The 19083-nt window shown below is 36.5% G+C and overlaps 1 protein-coding gene across 4 annotated transcripts in view; it reads right to left on the reverse strand.

Moving 5' to 3' along the window:
- The window catches only part of TXNL1 (thioredoxin like 1), a 41384-nt gene that overhangs the window by 15430 nt on the left and 6871 nt on the right, over window positions 1–19083 (reverse strand). For 3 of the 4 annotated variants that reach the window (NM_004786.3, XM_024451289.2, XM_024451290.2), the window contains exons 2-6: window positions 13723–13819; window positions 11650–11823; window positions 5366–5488; window positions 3607–3676; window positions 1786–1958 (exon numbers count right to left, since the gene is read on the reverse strand). In NM_004786.3, the coding sequence (NP_004777.1) occupies window positions 1786–1958; window positions 3607–3676; window positions 5366–5488; window positions 11650–11823; window positions 13723–13819 (637 nt within the window). Of the gene's footprint in view, window positions 1–1785; window positions 1959–3606; window positions 3677–5365; window positions 5489–11649; window positions 11824–13523; window positions 13629–13722; window positions 13820–19083 lie in introns of all 4 variants that reach the window. The other variant, NR_024546.2, reaches the window with a different exon arrangement.

The following is a 19083-nucleotide window of genomic DNA, read 5'->3' on the forward strand; positions in this document are numbered from 1 at the left end:
GCTGGGACTACCAGCGTACTCCCATGACCAGTTAAAAACTGCCTCTCGTGATTTAAACAACATACTTCTTTCATTCTGAGATGCCACTCATTCGTCAGTTTTTATTGTTTTCATAGGCAGCCATATGTTATTTCAAGAAAATATTTGATAATGAGTATACTAAGTTTAATATAACAATTTTCTTTGATTTCATTTGGGTAGGATATTTCTAATACTTAAAACTCAACTTGATTATAATTTTTTTTTTTTTGTCACCCAGACTGGAGTGTAATGACACAACTGCAGCTCACTGAAGCCTCAATCTCCCAGGCTCAAGTGGTCCCTCCAGAGTAGCTGGGACTACAGGCGCATCACCATGCCCAGCTAGTTCTTGTATTTTTTTGTAGAGATGGGGTTTCACCATGTTGCCCAGGCTGGTCTCAAAATCATGGGCTCGAGCAATCTGCCCATCTTGGCCTCCCAAAATGCTGGGATTACAGGAGTGAGCCACAACACCCAGCCAATTATAATTCTTCATACTACTACTATGTATATTCTGTGAAACTCTCAAAAACATTCTTAAATGAACACATACTTTAGCATTCTTCTAATTTACAAAAATAGAATTATTCCATCACAACAAACAAGCTGTACCAGTTTGGCATGACATTCTCAGTGGCTCTGTGCTGGTTCCTACTTTCTTTTTCTAAGTATTCTGCTATTCTTTTCTAACTGTCCTACCCATTCCTCTAAATGACTGTAGGTGAGAAGTGTGAGCTGGGTTTCAATGCTAAATTTTTTAAAAGCAATTAATAACTGCTAAAAATTAGCTGATTCTTGAGAGTGGCACTTTAATAATGACATCTAAAATACATCACTTAAAATCACCTCAAGCACTAGTCAATCTTCAGAAAGGCTGGGTGTAGTGGCTGAAGCCTATAAACCCAGCACTTTGGGAGGCTGAGGTGGGAGGACTGCTTGAGCCCAGGAGTTTGAGACCAGCCTGGGCCACACAGGGAGAGACTTCACCTCTACAAAAATAAAAAATTAGCTGGGTGAGGTGGCACGTGCCTGCGGTTGCAACTGCTCTGGAGGCTGAGGGAGAATCACCTGAGCCCAGTAGATCAGGGCTATACTGAACCAAGGTCGTGCCACTGTACTCCAGCCTGGACAACAAAGCAAGAACCTGCCTCAAAGGAAGAAAAAATTCAGATATACCTTAGGTCATCTTATAAAATGTAGTATTATCTTTTTAAAAGTCATTTTTAAGCCAGGTGCAGTGGTGCATGCCTGTAATCCCAGCTTCTCAGGAGGCTGAGGCGGGAAGATTATTTGAGCCCAAGAGTTCAAGTCAGCCCGGGCAACACAGCGAGACTCCATCTCAAAAAAAAATAAATAAATAAAAAGTCATTTTTACTAAGATCATGACCACCACACTTAAAAACTCCATATTCAAGAAAAGTAAATAAGATTTTACAAACACATCACTACTATACCAGGTATAAAGAATAAAGCACAAATATCTTCAGTTTTAGTATAAAGTTGTAGAATAAACTTCCAGCAAAACTTACCATATACATATAAAATAACTGACAAAACCCCACAAATATTCAAAAATCAATCTGTCCTTCCTCTTTAGGGTACATAAATTAAAAAGAAGAAAATTTATCCCATTAAACATTTTACTCATTTCAAACTGAGTGAATAAATACCACTTTAAAGAATCACTTAGACTTACCTAGGATACTGAAAATAGTATTGTTACTCACAAACCTATTAAATACATATGAACGAAATACTACTTACAGTTACACTGTTAACATTCTGAAACTTAACATAACGAAGTGGAACAATGCCATCTTCTTTAATATCATCCTCTGTCAGTTCCAGAGCTTGAGTTGGTTCACTTCTTTCTGCCTCTTCAAAATCCATAGATCGGGGTAGGTTGATAAAAATTTTTACATATTTAGGGCCCTGACCTATACAATGGTAGAATAAAATAAAATGTTTAAAAACCTCAAATATACTATACTCCCTTTACCACTACACTCACACTATACACAGACACACACAAATCAATACACATATACTTCAAATAACTCCATTATTAGAACTTGTACAAAAGTCTGAGTATTCAGGTAGCCAATCCTTTATTTTCCAAAACACATTTACTGGTTCCTTCTTGGCCGAGCTAACACTGTGGTAAATATTAGGAATATAAGATTTAAACAGACACACACACACAGAGGGAGTCCCTGCCCCCCAACTACAAAAGACATGCTACGATAAACAAAATACCACAGGAGAGGAGGTACAAGGAAGGTGACAATAGATTCTGACAATATATGCAGGTTAACAAAAAGTTTCATAAAAGAAATAGCATTTGAGCTAGATCTTATAGTTGCCAATAGTTGGTACATTCAGTTATTTAGGAGGAGAGCATTATCAGTGACAACATTTAGCCAAAAGAAAATTAATAAAAATTGCCAAATTTCATTTTAGGGATTAGATTAGGATGTGATAAGTGGTAAAGTCCCATGTATAGAATGCCTTAATCCCTTTAACTTCAAGGCACGATTTAAGACCCATATTTTGTGGCTGAAGAAGGAAAAGTAAGACTCATTTCTACAGCATTTGCTTATACAAATACTTTGTAATTTCAGAGTAAAAGTACAATTTTATTAATAAAAATTATTAACATGAAAATTTAGCAGAACAAATAAGAAAATGCTATCTTCTAAATAAGGCCTTGGTTATTTCTTCCAATCAATCGAAAAAAAAAAAAAAAATCAGAACCCTAGTCTCCATTCCCCTATTCCCCCTCAGAAAAAGCTTAACAGAAAAAGAAAAAATGGGGGGGGGCAAAAAAGGAAAATTCTTTATTTTACAAGAAGAGAAATCCTAAGTCTGCACAATCATATTTACATGTATCGATATAAAAAAATGATACTATTAATAGGGCACAAACAGGAATATCTGGAGCCTCAGTTTCCTCAAAATAAAAGGAATTTGAAATAAATCTTTCAGTTTTGATTCTAAAATACGGCTGCTCAAAAGCTACAGTTTTAGAACAGTTGGAAAAAAGGATTCAGCACTTCTCAGATTAAAAGGAAACAAATTTTAAAATGAAAAAGTATAAAAATAACTAAGTTCTCTTTCTTTCATACTTTCAGTACCTAATAATCTCACATTATTTACTCATTCATTTACATCTTGCTTCGTTCCAAAACAAGCCAGGTGCGGTGCTCATGCCTATAATCTTAGCAGTCTGGGAGGCCAAGGTGGGTGGATCACTTGGGGTCAGGAGTTCAAGAACAGCCTGGCCAACAGATGGTGAAATCCTGTACTAAACACAAAAATCAGCCAGGCGTGGTGGCGCCTGCCTGTAGTCCCAGTCCCAGCTACCTGGGAGGCAGAGGTGGGAGAATCACTTGAACCCAGGAGGCAGAGATTACAGTGAGCTAAGATTGCACCACCGCACTCCAGCCTGGGCAATAGCACAAGACTCTGTCTCAAAAAAAAAAAAAAAGAAAAAACAAGTACCTCTATTTAATAAAAAGTTTTAATTTTATGCTAACAGTTCTACAAAGCAGAAGTTAGTTTAAAGAAAAGCTATCCTTTACTCACCATTATCTGGCCCTTGAAATTTCATGGAATAAAGCTTAACAGGTTGATTGAATGCCACAGTAATAAGCAGCTGTGAAGATAAGAGTTTCATTTTAAAGGGCTCTTGTACACACCTTGAGTACATAAACTACTGAAGCAGAATGAAAATAACAGGCAAGAAAAAAAAAACCAACCTAATTCATCGAACAAAACCAACGTAATATGAAAAATCAGCAAGTGGAGAGTCACTTGATTAGATAACATCTGAGAACTACTACTATTAGTTATGTATATAAGGGAATACAAGAAAAAATTAATCAAGTAAATACTAAAACTATGCATAGGAATGTAAGGTCTTATGAGCTATAAACTGGCAAGCAACCTGCTTTCTAACAAATCAAACAAAATTCTCAAAATAAAATTTAAACTAACATTTTAGCACATAGCTCTACGATGGTTTATTTGTCAAGTATCTATCCACATCACTTGACGATTTAGAGGCAATACACAGGTTATGCAGAGACTAGCCCTGAAATGGACTCTAATCCCAAACTCAAGAGAATAGGGTTCTTATAGCTCTGAAGTAACCTCCAAACTTCCATTCTACATTTACTTGACTGACTGAATCTGGAAGGCCACATAAGGGAAGAGGAATATGAAACACTGTCAGAATGTTTCTCTCTCCGAAACTCTTCTGGATCATTTGCTCAATCTTCTTTCCAGCCAAAAGTGTGTTTGATGTACGTACCTATGCATCTACCCTGGGAAGATTTCCTGAGCAGGAAAATTTCATGAAGCCTGAACCAGTCCTGCTGATTAGCATTATTACATTATTTTTAGGGCACCATTTACAAGAAACACAATGTGAATGATACTCTCAAAGCTGAAAAACATGGTGGCTCTGGGGTTACAGCATGGAAAGATGGGGTTTGGATTTATGATTTCAGAATCATGTTGTGGTTTATCTGCCTAAGAAAATAACTAGGCTATTTCCTTTAGTTACACCAATACTTTTTATACTTGACCCATAATAGTGTATCAAAAAATAATAAGCATGACATTATTAGGGAACTGAACTGTAGGTGAAGAGCAGAAGAGATGAGAAAGTTAAAAACAGATCAAGTCAGCCTCCTCCTAAAGCCAGTGAAGAGTCATTTTACTCTTCTAAGGAATGGAAACATGCAACTTTATATTTTAGAAAAATAACTTCTGTTACCGTATAGAAGATGAACTGGAATGGGACAAATCAGTGACAATGGAAGAGAAAGTAAACTGAGAAAAGTAACAGCCAAAATGAAGATTTAAAAAGCTTGATCAAGGTGGTAACACCCAACTTACTTTGTGATAAGGGCAAGGCAGGGAAGCATAGGGAATATAATACAGGTTTCTATCTAGGAGAAAGGAATTAGCCACACAGGGAGTGCTCATTTCATTAGTCTCTATTTCTCATATACAAATTCATCTGAGTGGGAAGAAGGTATGGAAGTCAGGTTAAGGATGAACAAAAAGACCAAACAGTGGTAAGAGCTCAATTCTGCAGTGGGTCCCACCCAAGAGTTCAGCAATTTTTCTTAGTGCACCTGGCAGCCCACATACAAGAACAAAGAAGGTGGGTATGTATGGTCAAAAAACAAAAGTCAAAGAAACTAAAAGCTATAGAAATGAAAGGAAGAAGTGATCATCTGGGAAGGAGAGACGTAAGCCACAAAATGGGAACAAGAAACAAGAGCAGGCATAAATAGTGATAATCTCCACAAGCTTATCTTCAGCCCTCAATTACCTGTTCATCACAGTCAGATTCCAAGAAGGTTGTGTCTTTTCGTAAACAGTTGTCAAATCCATGCTCATCACTTTCATTAAGACATTCACAACCAGCTTTGTTAATAAAAGGCATTAAATCCATCTGAAAAAAAATTGCAAGATTTTAGGCAACATATTTGGATTAGGTATAAAAATGTTTAAAAAATTTAAATCTCTGATTCTCTTTAGGCAATTTTAAAGAAAACACTTTTAAAACAGTTCATAAAACTTTTACAGTAGTCCTTTCATTTGCATTTCTGACTGAGATCTACCATCAATTATTAAAGCCAAGTCTAGGCTTAGCCTACTTGATAAGGTATCAGAAATGATGTCTTTAAGATTATAAAATGTTGACTTATACTTTAAAAAATAAGTGTTTTACAGAAGAAAATATGCAAATTAAAATATCCGTAAGATCCAAAGAAAGCCTATTTCCCTCTTCTAGTGGTCAAGGACTCTTTATATCTATGAAGATGTCCAATTTAAGATGAGTAGCAAATAAGGACTTAAAGTTTTTATCATGAAAAATTTCAAACAGACAAAAATATAATAATATAGTAAATCCCATGTATCCACCACCTCCAGCTACAATAATCATCAACTGAAGGCCACTCTTGCCTCATCTTTAACCCCCAACTACATCCTAACTCTCCTCCTGATTAGTTTGAAAAAAAAAAAAGCATCTTTTCATTTCATTCATGAACATTTCAGTATGAATTTCTAAGCAATAAGAACTTAAAAAAAAACATTCTCAATATCATTATCACAATCAATAATTCCTTAACACCATCAAATCAGTGGTCAAATTTCCTCCACTGTCTCATAAATATTTCACACTTGAATTGTTACACGCAGAATAAAGATCCAAAAAAGTATACACCAATAATAGAGATAAAAAGAAAAAGGCCTGGTACGATGGCTCATGCTTCTAATCCCAGCACTTTGGGAGGCCAAGGTGGGTGGACAGCTTGAGCTTAGGAGTTCAAGAGCAGCCTGGGCAACATAGTGAGACTTTGTCTCTAAAAAACTTAAAAAAAAAAATTAGCTGGGTGCAGTGGCATGTGCCTTTAGTCCCAGCTAATTGGGAGGCTGAGCTGGGAGGATGGCTTGAGCTCAGGAAATCAAGGCTGCAGTAAGCTGAAATTGCGCCATTGTACTCCAGCCCAGGCAGCAGAGCAAGACCCTGTCTCAAAAAAAAAAAAAAAAAAAAAGTATAAACATTATATTTGGAGGCCGGGTCGGGGTGGCTCACCCCTGCAATCCCAGCATTTTAGGAGGCCGAGGCGGGTGAATCGCCTGAGGTCAGGAGTTTGAGACCAGCTTGTCCAACATGGTGAAACTCTGTCTCTACTAAAAATACAAAAATTAGCCAGGCATGGTGGCGGGCACCTATAATCCCAGCTACTCGGGAAGCTGAGGCAGGAGAACTTCTTGAACCTGGGAGGCGGAGGTTGCAGTGAGCCGAGATCACACCACTGCACTCCAGCCTGGGGACAGAGCAAGACTCTGTCTCCAAAAAAAAAAAAAAAAAAAAAAATTGTATTTGGTTAATATGTCTCTGAAATCTCTTTTAATCTAGTCATTTAGCTTATAGATTTCTCAATACTTTGGATTTTACCGTTTACTTCCCTGTGGTGTCAGCACATGCCCATCTCTGTATACTTTATTCTAACACTTCCATACCTCCCACACATCAGAGTTGTGTTAACAGCGGTTGGTCATGCTTGTCTTATTTCTGACTTTAGTAGGAATGCTTCCAATGTTCCCTTATTAAGATTTTACTGAATGCTTTAGGAATAAAGGGGTATTTAAATTTTGTCAAATGCCTTTTCTGCATATTTGGAGATCATGATTTTTCTCCTTAGGTCTATTAATGTGACAGATTAAGTAAATTTCCTAACATAAACAACTCTTACATGCTTTAAAAAAACTCAATTTTGTTATTATTATTATTATTATTTTTTTGAGACATTCTCACTCTGTCGCCCAGGCTGGAGTACAGTGGTGTTATCTTGGCTCACTGAAACCTCCACCTCCCGGGTTCAAGTGATTCTCCTGCTTCAGTCTCCTGAGTAGCTGGGATTACAGGCGTGTGCCACCATGTCTGGCTACTTTTTGTATTTTTAGTAGAGATGGGCTTTCACAATGGCCAGGCTGGTCTCCAACTCCTGGCCTCAAGTGATCTACCCACCTCAGCCTCCCAAAGTGCTGGGATTACAGGCATGAGCCACCACACCCAGCCCATGATGATATTATTGAATTTTGTTTACTAACACTTTATTTAAAAATTTTACATCAATATTCATAATTGAAACTGGTCTGCAGCTTTCTTTTTTGGTGCATACTTTGTCAAATTATCAGATCAATGTCACAGTTCAAAAATAAATTTAAAAGTTTTCTTTTTACTTAAGATCTTAAGTAGTTACAGTAACAGTAGATTACCTGATCTTTATACGGATTTGGCAACATTTACCTGTAAAGTCATAGAAGCCTTTAGGGAAGAAATCTTTACTACTATTTCTTCTATTTCTCTATGGTGCTGGTCTATTTAGGTGTTCTGCTTCTAGTAGAGTTGATTTTGGTAAAAGTGTATTTTTCTAGAAAAGTATCCATTTTATCTCCTAAACAAGGATTACTTTTCAAGTCTACCAAGTATTATAGATGAGTCACATGTTCACCTCTCTATCTCAAAGGGTTTTCATTATGTTTTTTAAAGATACAAATACATACATACATAATTCTCAAAGACTGAAGAAAACTTTGTATGTCAAGTAAATATGAAAATGGTAATAATCATTAGTATAGACCTCTAGTTACAGATAAAACAGCCTAAATGCTTTCAAAGCTGAAATGTTATAGTAAATGTATTACTCAGGGTAACGTATAGCCAATTTAAAAGATGGGGAGGGAAGAAAAAAGGGCTACAGAGCAAAGTTTTACTATAGCAGAATTATTCGGAGCATTATGAACATTTGCCTTAAAAGGGCAGTTTTGACAAAATCTTTAAAATGTTTTTGTCTTCCATCCTATCTATATGTCACTTCAATATGGTATCTAGGATTAAGACAACATTACAGTCAGACTTGCAATACCTAAATGATAAAAATAAACTAAGTGGGTAAATTCTTCTAAATAGTTTTTGTTTTTATTTATTGTGGGGCACACAAAACATATATATGTATTTTTTTTTTTTTTTTTTGAAACAAAGTCTCCCTCTGTTGCCCAGGCTGGAGTTGCAGTGGCGCAATCTTGGCTCAATGCAACCTCCGCCTCCTGCAATTCTGCTTCAGCCTCCCGAGTTGCTGGGACTACAGCAGTGTGCCACTGCACCTGGCTAATTTTTGTATTTTTGGTAGAGATGGGGTTTCTGATGTTGGCCAGGCTGGTCTTGAACTCCTGACCTCAGGTGATCCACCCGCCTCAGCCTCCCAAAGTGCTGGGATTACAGGCGTGAGCCACCACACGCCCAGCCCACAAAACATATTTAAAGGGGTGCATTAAAGTATTTTGTTATAAAAACTGTCTGGGACAAACTGGCATTATTACATTGCATAGTTGACATAACTGGAAACTGACATATTCTGAAAACCTGCAATGAGAAATAAATGTTGCTACCTTTATAATCAACATGCCAATCATGGGAAAATAATCAGGTTAATCCAGAATACGCAACAGTCTATAAAACAGATATCCTAGCTAGGTGCAGTGGCTCACACGTGTAATCCTAGCACTTTGGGAGGCTGAGACAGGTGGATCACCTGAGGTCAGGAGTTTGAGACCAGCCTGGCCAACATGGTGAAACCCCCTCTCTACTAAAAATACAAAAAGTAGCTGGGTGTGGTGGTGGGCACCTATAATCCCAGCTACTTGGGAGCCCGAGGCAGAACTGCTTCAAACGAGCGGCAGGGGCAGGGGCCAGGGGGACGGTGGAGGTTGCAGATCATGCCACTTCACGCCAGCCTAGACAAAAGTGTGAAACTCCATCTCAAAAAAAAAAAAAAAAAAAATTAATTAAATAAAACAGCCTAGACCCATGCTATTCAATATGATACTCATTAGCCACATGTGGCAATTTAAAATTAAATTAATTAAAATTAGATAAAATTAAATATTAAGTTCCTCAGTTGCACTAGTCATATAACAAAATGTTCAATAGACAAGTGTGCCTAGTGGCTACCATATTACTAGACCAGTGCTGGTTTAGACTTTCAAAATGGAAAACCATGACAGAAAAAAAAGGCAGAGAAAAGTTTCTAGACTAAAGAACATTAATTAGGACAACTTAAATGCAATGCATGATCCTTGATTTGATCCTAAATGGTGGGAAACAGCCATAAAGAATATTTTGGGGATAATTAAGAAAATTTAACTGTAGGATAATTAGAAATATTGTATCAATATTAAATTTCTTGGGAGTTATAATGGTATCATCGTTATATAAGATTACCAAATTTAAATACTGAATAACCCTGTGAGACCTAAATAGTTCAAAACTTTAATGTCTTGATTGACACCTGACAGAAAAAAAGGGACATTTAAAAATAACAGCTTTTCATATTTTATCCATAACATTTGCACAAAAACTAAATTTTTATTTCTTAAAACTTCATTTTTTCCTATTTCCTATCTGAGGCCAAAACACTCATACCACAGCGGATGTGTAAAGAAGTATGCCTGTAGCTAGGCAACAAGACTGCTGTGTTCCTAAGACTTTTTAATGCAAACACCCTTAGTAATAAAGGGAAAAAAATACAAAGATATAAACACAATGGTTTACAAGTTAAATGATTTCCAAAACTGTCCAAAAGATGTAACAACCCTGACATAAACGATATGTTGATACTTCCTAATTGGACATTACAATTTCAAATTACAGGTCTATTTTAAATAAATAGTAATTGTACTTCCTTAAATTAATGCTGGTATCACATTACTGATGCTTTCTGACACCCTTACAATCTCCTACTACACACCCATATAGAAAGAATCTCTCATTTTTTTTTTTGGACTATAGCATCTCTTCATTCGGCATGAATTTAGACTTACAGGGAGGACTTGTAGCTCCATGACACAGATCTGCTTTAATATGCCTGTTATACATTGTTTAAGATATTAGCTTTGGCTAGGTGCAGTGGCTCACGCCTGTAATCCCAACACTTTGGGGGAGGCCAAGGCAGGTGGATCACCTGAGGTCAGGAGTTCGAGACCAGCCTGGCCAACATGGTGAAACCTCGTCTCTACGAAAAATACAAAAATTAGCTGGGCATGGTGGCAGGTGCCTGTAATCCCAGCTACTGGGGAGGCTGAGGCAGGAGAATAGCTTGAACCCTGGAGGTGGAGGTTGCAGTGAGCTGAGATCGTGCCACTGCACTCCAGCCTGGGTGACAGAGGGACTCCGCCTCAAAAAAAAAAAAAAAAAAGATATTAACTTTAACTTGAGGTAACTTTTTTTAAAATTCATTCTTTGATCTGCCAGTGCAGTAACTTTGTAACCAGAGAAATTAAAAACTATATATATCTCTTAGTATACAAGATTTACCTATTTGTATAAGCAAATCTAATACCATGAAGTGCTACTTCCAAATTTTGCTTCCTTCTTGAATAGCTCTCAAATTAAAAATGCTGCATTCTAACTATTTATACTCTGCAGTTTCCACACACTATCCTTTAGATTCTTAAGTCTTTATGTTGTTATTTGAAATAACTTACTCTTAAAACCTAGAATACATGTGATAACAAAGTCAAATTTGATTCTAAAACAAAATCAGTAATTAGACTTTTTTTTTTTTTTAAATACAGTGCCAGAAAAGAGGGCATACATTTAAAAAGATAAAACTATAGGAAGTGAGTGACAGTAAAAGGAGTTAATGGCCATAACTAAAACCTGTAAGTCATTTTACATAACTGTCAAAAAGTGAAAAAAAAATTTCTAATGCACATTTCTACATTTTCTGGAAAAAAAAGTATAAAGCAAGTATTTTTAAATGGCTATTAAAATAGTTCAGAAAGCAGATTTTTAAAAAGTGGCAAAGAAAATTAGGAGAAATTTAGGAAAAATGATTTATGATAGAGGCTTAACACACACACAAACGTACACATACAGACAAAACTCAATAGTCAGCTAATAAATTTGAAAGCTCTTATTTAAAAGTATTCTAAACCAGTAAGAGATAGAAGATGGAAACATAGTTATATTTCATTTTAGCCCAATAATGACATGTACAAGATATTATACATTATGATTTCACTTTTCAGTCTACATACATAGCCTTTTGGAATATCTGTGTCCTCATTGCTTCCAGGGTCATTTTCTAAGTGCTGCTTGATTTTTTCTTCTAATCCCACAGCATCTGCTCCTTGATATTGATCAATTCTCACTTTGTTTCGAAAAAACAAAAATGTAGGTGTTGCTGATATATTGTTGGTGGCAGCTGTTCCCTAGAATTGGCAAGTTGGACAGTGTTATGAATTAAATCTTAAACCACTTTGAATATTCATTCTACACCTTTATGGAAGTTAAATACCATAAGCATGAACTAAAAACATGTAAAATACTGCATTTTTGTTATTTAAGGAAAAAATAGACCTATTCCTAAGAGAGTTCCCCTTTGGGCATAGCTACATTACCATCACACACACAATAAAGAACATTCCCCATGTTTTTATCATTTTTACTGGTAAATACATCATCCAGTAGAAAAATTAGCTTCCAATGCAGAAACTGTGCTTAATGCCAGACAGATCTTTCATAATTACAGGTATTTCTCAAAAAGAATAACCAAGAAGGGTATTGATAAAGTCAACACAAACCACTGCTACTAGAAAAAAGTGCAGGTCTGAAAACCGGTAGCCAATCTGCCTGTTAAAAAGAGCATGTAATGTATTTTGCACTGCAACCGTCACCCAATTTTTATTCTTACAGAAATGACTTTTGGTCACCCATCAAAACACATTCTAACAGCTATCTTTATAAATTCTGTCCTAGCTCCACAATTGTATAAGACTAACTACTGAATGGAAATTACCTAATAACCACCGAGTATCCTAGTTTAAGCTTTTCATGACAAGTATAAAGGAAACAGTAAAGCAAATATGGCACCTTATATATTCAAATATTATGAAAGTCACTACTATACTTTTTAAAGAAAAAGAACATAAAGATAACACAGGAATGTCTTCTCAAAGCCTCTAGGTGAAAAAACTATGACCTTTCAGGAAAGTGCTGCCCAAAACAATGGATATGTAGCACATGTGAGCTACACATGCAATTGTAAATTTTCTATTATCTATATTAAAAAAGCAAAATAAGTAAAATCAAGTTTAATATTACAGGAAATCTAATATATCCATTTTCAATCTAATCAACATAAAAAGATAATGCAATATTTTACATTTTTTATACTGTCTTTAAAATCTGATCTGTATTTTATACTTTCCGTACATATCAATATGAATTTGTCACAGTTAAAGTGCTCAGTAACCACACATAGCCAGTGGTTACAATACCTGACAGAACAGCTCCAGGAGAAAAGCATTTTCATTCTAGAAATAGTGATTAAATCAGGGGCCAATGATATAGTGCAATAACATGCAACTAAGTGCTGAAACATAAATGTGTGTAATGTAGGGTTTTCAACAAACCCCCAAAGTAACTACACACTACATAATATTCTAAAATTTTTTCCACACTCAGAAATTTAACAAAGATAAAGCTGCAGAGCTATAGAGTTGTTCCTTAGTTAGAACTAAAGACTCTACTTTTTAGTATTGGAAGGAGCTTTCCAATTTTTTTTTCCCTTAACAATTCCCCACATTTCTGCATATACAAATACAGAACTGCCACATACCATTCCAACTAAATAATCAGGGCAATTCACCTACAACACTGTGGCTCAATCAACAATAATCACCATTTTAAAGTTTCTGCTCAGTGTGTCCATTTGGAGATAAGATAACAAACTGATCAATTCAAACTACAACCAAGAACTCCTTGCCACTGCTATATAATGCCAATACCTCGGGGGTAGAAGATATAATTCTAGGTTTGCAAAACATAAGGAAATGTAATACACAGAACTGCTAGGTGACCTATTAACAACATCGTATTAATTTTATATCAGAAGGTGATTAATACAAACCTGAAGCAATTAATAATGTGCTACTCTTCTTAACTAATGCAGCCATAATGACATCTGTAATAATGACATCAACATAACATCTTCCTATCTTCAAAGGAATAAGTACTATGTGCATCAAGAGATAAATGAAGAATATTAATGTTGGATTTCAAATTTATTCAAAAGTAAATTAAAAAGAAAAAAGATTCCTTTCCCTTACCTGACACTGATGTACATCGACTTCCAAGAAAACAGCCTGTGGATATTTATTACTCATAGAACTGAATGCTGGGGCAATCCTCAAACATGGCCCACACCTGTTAGAAAAGGAAAATTAAGTAAAATAACACTAAAGATTGTAATTCTAAAGCACTCGTCAATTAAACATAAAATAGAACAAACACTGATACTGCTGGCTTTTGACTCTCTGTTTTTTTTGTTTTGTTTTGTTTTTTGCTTTAGACAGAGTCTCACTCTGTCGGCCAGAGTGGTACTCCAGGCGCCCACCACCACGCCCAGCTAATTTTTGTATTTTTAGTAGAGACATGGTTTCACTGGGTTGGCCAGGCTGGTCTCGAACTCCTGACCTTAGGTGATCCACCTGCCTTGGCCCCTCCCAAAGTGCTGGGATTACAGGCGTGAGCCACCAAGCCGGTCTTTTTTTTTTTTTTTTTTTTTTTTGGAGACAAGGTCTCATTCTATAACCCAGGCCAGAGTACAGTGGCATGATCATGGCTCACTGCAGTCCCAATCTTCCAGGCTCAAGCAATCCTCCCACCTCAGCCTTCCAAGTAGCTGCAACTACAGGTGCATGCCACCACACCCAGCTACCAAGCTACATTTTTTTTTTTTTTGAGAAGCAGGGTCTCACTATATTGCCCAGGCTGGTCTCAAACTCCTGGGTTCAAGTGATCCTCCTGCCTTGGGCCTCCCAAAGTGCAGACATTACAGGCATGAACCATAACCCTAGGCCTGATTCTCTGGTCTATTTGAGTAAGTTATTTACATATACTTGTATCAATACTATACTGTCTTAATGAGCCCAGATGTTACATTTAGTCTTCATAACTAATAGTGTTAAGTCTTCTAGCTTTGTTCTCACTGAGAGAAATTAAAGAAAACCTAAATAAATGGAGGAATTTACTCTGCTTATGAATTTGAAACTCAATATTGCCAAGATACCAATTTTACTCAATTTGATCTTTACAACTGATGTAAGATCTCAGCAGGTTTTCTTGTAGAAATTAACAAATTTCCATTCTAAAAATTATAGAGAAATGCCAAGGACAGCCCAAGTCGTTTTGAGGTTCTAATCTGAAAAAATTATATTATCAGATCTTAAGAACTATCATAAACCTTTATTAAGAGAATATAGTACTTGTACAAGAATAAGCAAAATGATCAAATCAGTTTTCCTTTGAAAGAAGAGTCTAGAAACAGACCCATCTCACATACAGTACTCTGATGTCTGAAAAACTTGATGTAGCATTGCAGTGGGAAAAGGATGGTCTTTTCAATAAATACTGCTAGATCAACTATATACTCATACAGGAAAAGAAATGAATCTCAACACACCATACACAAAAACCAATTCCAGATGGGTTGTAGATCTAAATGTAAAAGGTGAAACAAGGAGGGTTTTAGGAAAAAATACAGGAAGACACTTTCAAAACCTCAAACTAAGCAATGATTTCTTATACAAAACACAAGAAGTACTAAAAAAAAAAAAAGGTTTGACAGACTGGACTATATTTGATAAACTGGAAGATTAAAACCTTTTATTCATCAAAAAATGTCTTTAAGAGACTAGGAAAAAGTATTTGCAAAACATATCAAACAAAGGACTTATACTTCTAATACGTAAAGAACTCCTACAAAACAAGGAGAAGACTGAAACCCAAAAGAAAAAGAATGAACCCTTGAATAGGTACTTGACAAATGAGATTATCCAAACAGTCAATAAATAAAGTCAAAAACTTTCTATAAAGCAGGAAAGATGTTCTACTTCATTAGTCATCAGGGATACCCGGGAAATGCAGATTAAAACCAACTCAGCAAAAATAGCTACAAGAAGAATTAAGTATTGTCAAGAATGCAGAGCAACTAAACTTTTATATACTGTGAGAGTGCAAGCTGGTATTAACCATTTTGGAGGGAAAAAAACCAAACTGCTAAAATACACCAACCCATCAAAATTCCTGGGGAATACATCTAAGACACATGTTCACCTTAGAACATTTGAAAAAGTATTATTAGTAATAGTTCTAAGAGTCAAAAATCAGAAACAATTAAATTCTTATCAACAAAAGAATGGGTAAGCTAATTATAGTTATACAATGAAATACTACACAATAATGAAAATAACTGGTATAAAACCTCTTGCAAAAACATGGATGAACCTCACAAATAACATTGAGGAAAGAAAGCAACTACTAGCATATACTATATGACTACATACAGTTCAAATACAGACAAAACCAATCAATGGTATCAGAAATCAAGACAATGGTTACCTTAGTGAGTTACTGATAGAATAAGACTTCTGGAGGCTAGCAATGTTTTGTTTGTCTGGAAGCTGATTAAATAGGTGTGTTCAGTTTGTGAAAATTAATTGAACTATACATTTCTAATTGTGTGCCATGTATGTCTCAATAAAAGTTTGCAGAAATAAGAAATGCAAGAAAAAGCAAATCTAATGCACAAAATAAAAACAAATGTTAAAACTCAAGTTGTGATCAACTCCACATTCTTAACATTTCAATCAGCATTTCACCTTGTGTTATCCTGAAAGCCATACACCAAAAATCTAAGAAAATAATATTTACAGTCAACTAAAATTAGTCTTAAACTTTATAAATGGGAATATATATCACTACACTGTTTTTCAAAGGCCACTGATTGGGTCATATCTATTCATTTTAGATGAACACAAGCCAAGACCCAATAATTGCCCTTTTGAAAGTCTATTCCATTTTAACAACACTTACTCTATTTCACAATAACATGTAGTATAAGGAAGTTCAATGTAACATGTTTGTAATAGTAAAGTTAGAAAACAACTTAAATGGCAATTAATGGAAAACTAGTTTAAAAAGTTATGACAGGGGCCAGGCACGCTGGCTCACGCCTATAATCCCAGCACTTTGGGAGGCCAAGATGGGCGGATCACTTGAGTCCAGGAGTTCTAGATCAGCCAGGCCAACATGGTGAAACCCCATCTCTACTAAAAATACAAAAATTAGCCAGGCATGGTGGCGCATGCCTGTAATCCCAGCTACTCAGAAGGCTGAAGCAGGAGAATCACTTGCACCCGGGAAGCGGAGGTTGCGGTGAGCCAAGATCACACCACTGCACCCCAGCCTGATACTTTGCAGTGTTTAGGGGGGAAGAAAGTCTCATTATAAAATGTTCTCTAGGATCACATTTCAAACCTATGTATATATATAAATGCATAGGGGGTAAAAAGACAGAGACAGGCACAATGAACAGTTAGTATCCATAATTCTGCATCCTTTGCTTTTTTGTGATGAATAGGTATTTTCATTTTAAAATATTAAATGAGTTGAGAAGAATTTAGTGTTAACTGCATTTACACAGGTGTCACAAATTACAGAGGTATCCATTCTATAGTACAATATATCCATTCATGAAAACCACCCTCCTGCAAAAACACACACCAAAAAGAGAGAATTTATGGGAAAAATAAGTTTGTTGGCAAACTACTTGAAACCCATGCAATTTTGTAACAAGATCAGTAAGAAAGATAGTAACCAGACTGGGCCCGATGATGGCTCATGCCTGTAATCTCAGCACTTTGGGAGGCCAAGGCAGGTGGATCACTTTAGGGTGGGAGTTCAAGACCAGCCTGGCCAACAAGGTGAAACCCCATCTCGACTAAAAGTACAAAAATTAGCCAGGCGTGATAGCGGATGCCTATAGTCCCAGCTATTCGGGAGGCTGAGGAAGGAGAATCACTTGAACCCGGAAGGTTGTAGTTAAGCCAAGGTCACCAAGATCGTGCACTCCAGCCTGGGCAACAGAGCAAGACTCCAACTTGGAAAAGAAAAAAAAAAAAAAAGACAGTAACTAGGATTCAGGAAAAAGATGGACATCCCAGCATGTGGCTCAGAGCTGGAAGCGACCTTGGGGAATATTTGAAAAGAACAAAATCAACTGGAAATGATGCTTACAGGTGTTGTGACAAAGCAGACTGAAGTGGAGCTCTGAGCCAGTGGGGCTGCCATTAAGGAAGGGACAGGAGAAAATGCAACACTGAAAATAAACCCTTCTGGGGAACAAACGCTAGGTGTAGGCACTCTTATTTAACTTCATTAACTTTCTTAAAATAAACAAGAGAGGGAATTTGCCTGTGTGGCTGAGAGCTTTCTGCTTCCAGATGAAGGTTTTATTTCTATTTTTCACTACCTAGGAATAATCACACATGAACCAATACAACTTCCATATCACATTGACATCTCTCTATTCATCAATTATTTACGAGCTAACTGGTGTTACAGACACACATCTTGCAGCTGAACAGACTATTAAAATTATGGTTACTGTGCAAAAAACTGTTTCAAGATTTAACTTTATCTAGATTCTTTAATTTCAGTTAGCCATCAGAGGTTGGAACTTTGGTCAAAAATCAAAATGCATCAGCAGAGAAGCATAAATATATACAAACTCACAAATATATACAGCAGCACACTTTCACAAAACAATCATTCAAATAAATCGATCATTTTCTTTTTTCTTTTTTTTTTTAGGGTTTCACTCTGTCACCCAGGTTGAGTGCAGTGGCATAATCATGGCTCACTGCAGCCTCATTCCCTCAGGCTCAAGTGATCCTTCCACCTCAGCCTCCCAAGCAGCTGAGACTACAGGCACGTGCCACCATACCCTGCCAATTTTTGATGTTTTGAAGACACGAGGTCTGCCTATGTTGCCCAGGCTGGTCTCAAACTCCTAGACTCAAGTGATTCTCCCACCTCAGCCTCCCAAAGTACTGGGATTACAAGTGTGAGCCACTGTGCCCAGCCAATTGATCATTTTACATAAGATGTCTGTCTCCTTAACAGGAGCAGTTGAGAGTAAACAAATTTCCATTAGCTGAGATCATGAACAAGTCACCTGATTTCTCTGTATAAAATAAAAGGACTCTCCAAGGACTTTTCCCAGCTCTACAATATTATGCACCCAGTATGCTTGAATTTCAGAATTACACCTTTTTCTCTTGCACACACCTTGATTAGCTGCCCTTTGCACAATCTACGATTTCTTATTTCACTGCAAAAGGTTCAAGAGATCACCTAGTCCAGACATTTAAAATGAAGAAAAAAAAAAAGTTACTTTTCTACTCTAAACCTTCTGACTGAAAACTTATCTGCTTAGTCCAATATATAAAATGTGTATGTTAGAAGGATTTTGAGTTATGCTGTTTGAGAAAAAGAATACAGTAAACCGCTAGCTTTCTACAATGTATAAAGAAATAAACCCAGCCGGGCGCAGTGGCTCACGCCTGTAATCCCAGCACTGTGGGGAGGCCAAGGCTGGTGGATCACCTGAGGTCAGGAGTTCGAGA

This window comes from Homo sapiens, chromosome 18 (assembly GCF_000001405.40).
Source record: "Homo sapiens chromosome 18, GRCh38.p14 Primary Assembly".
NCBI classification, from domain to species: domain Eukaryota; kingdom Metazoa; phylum Chordata; class Mammalia; order Primates; family Hominidae; genus Homo; species Homo sapiens.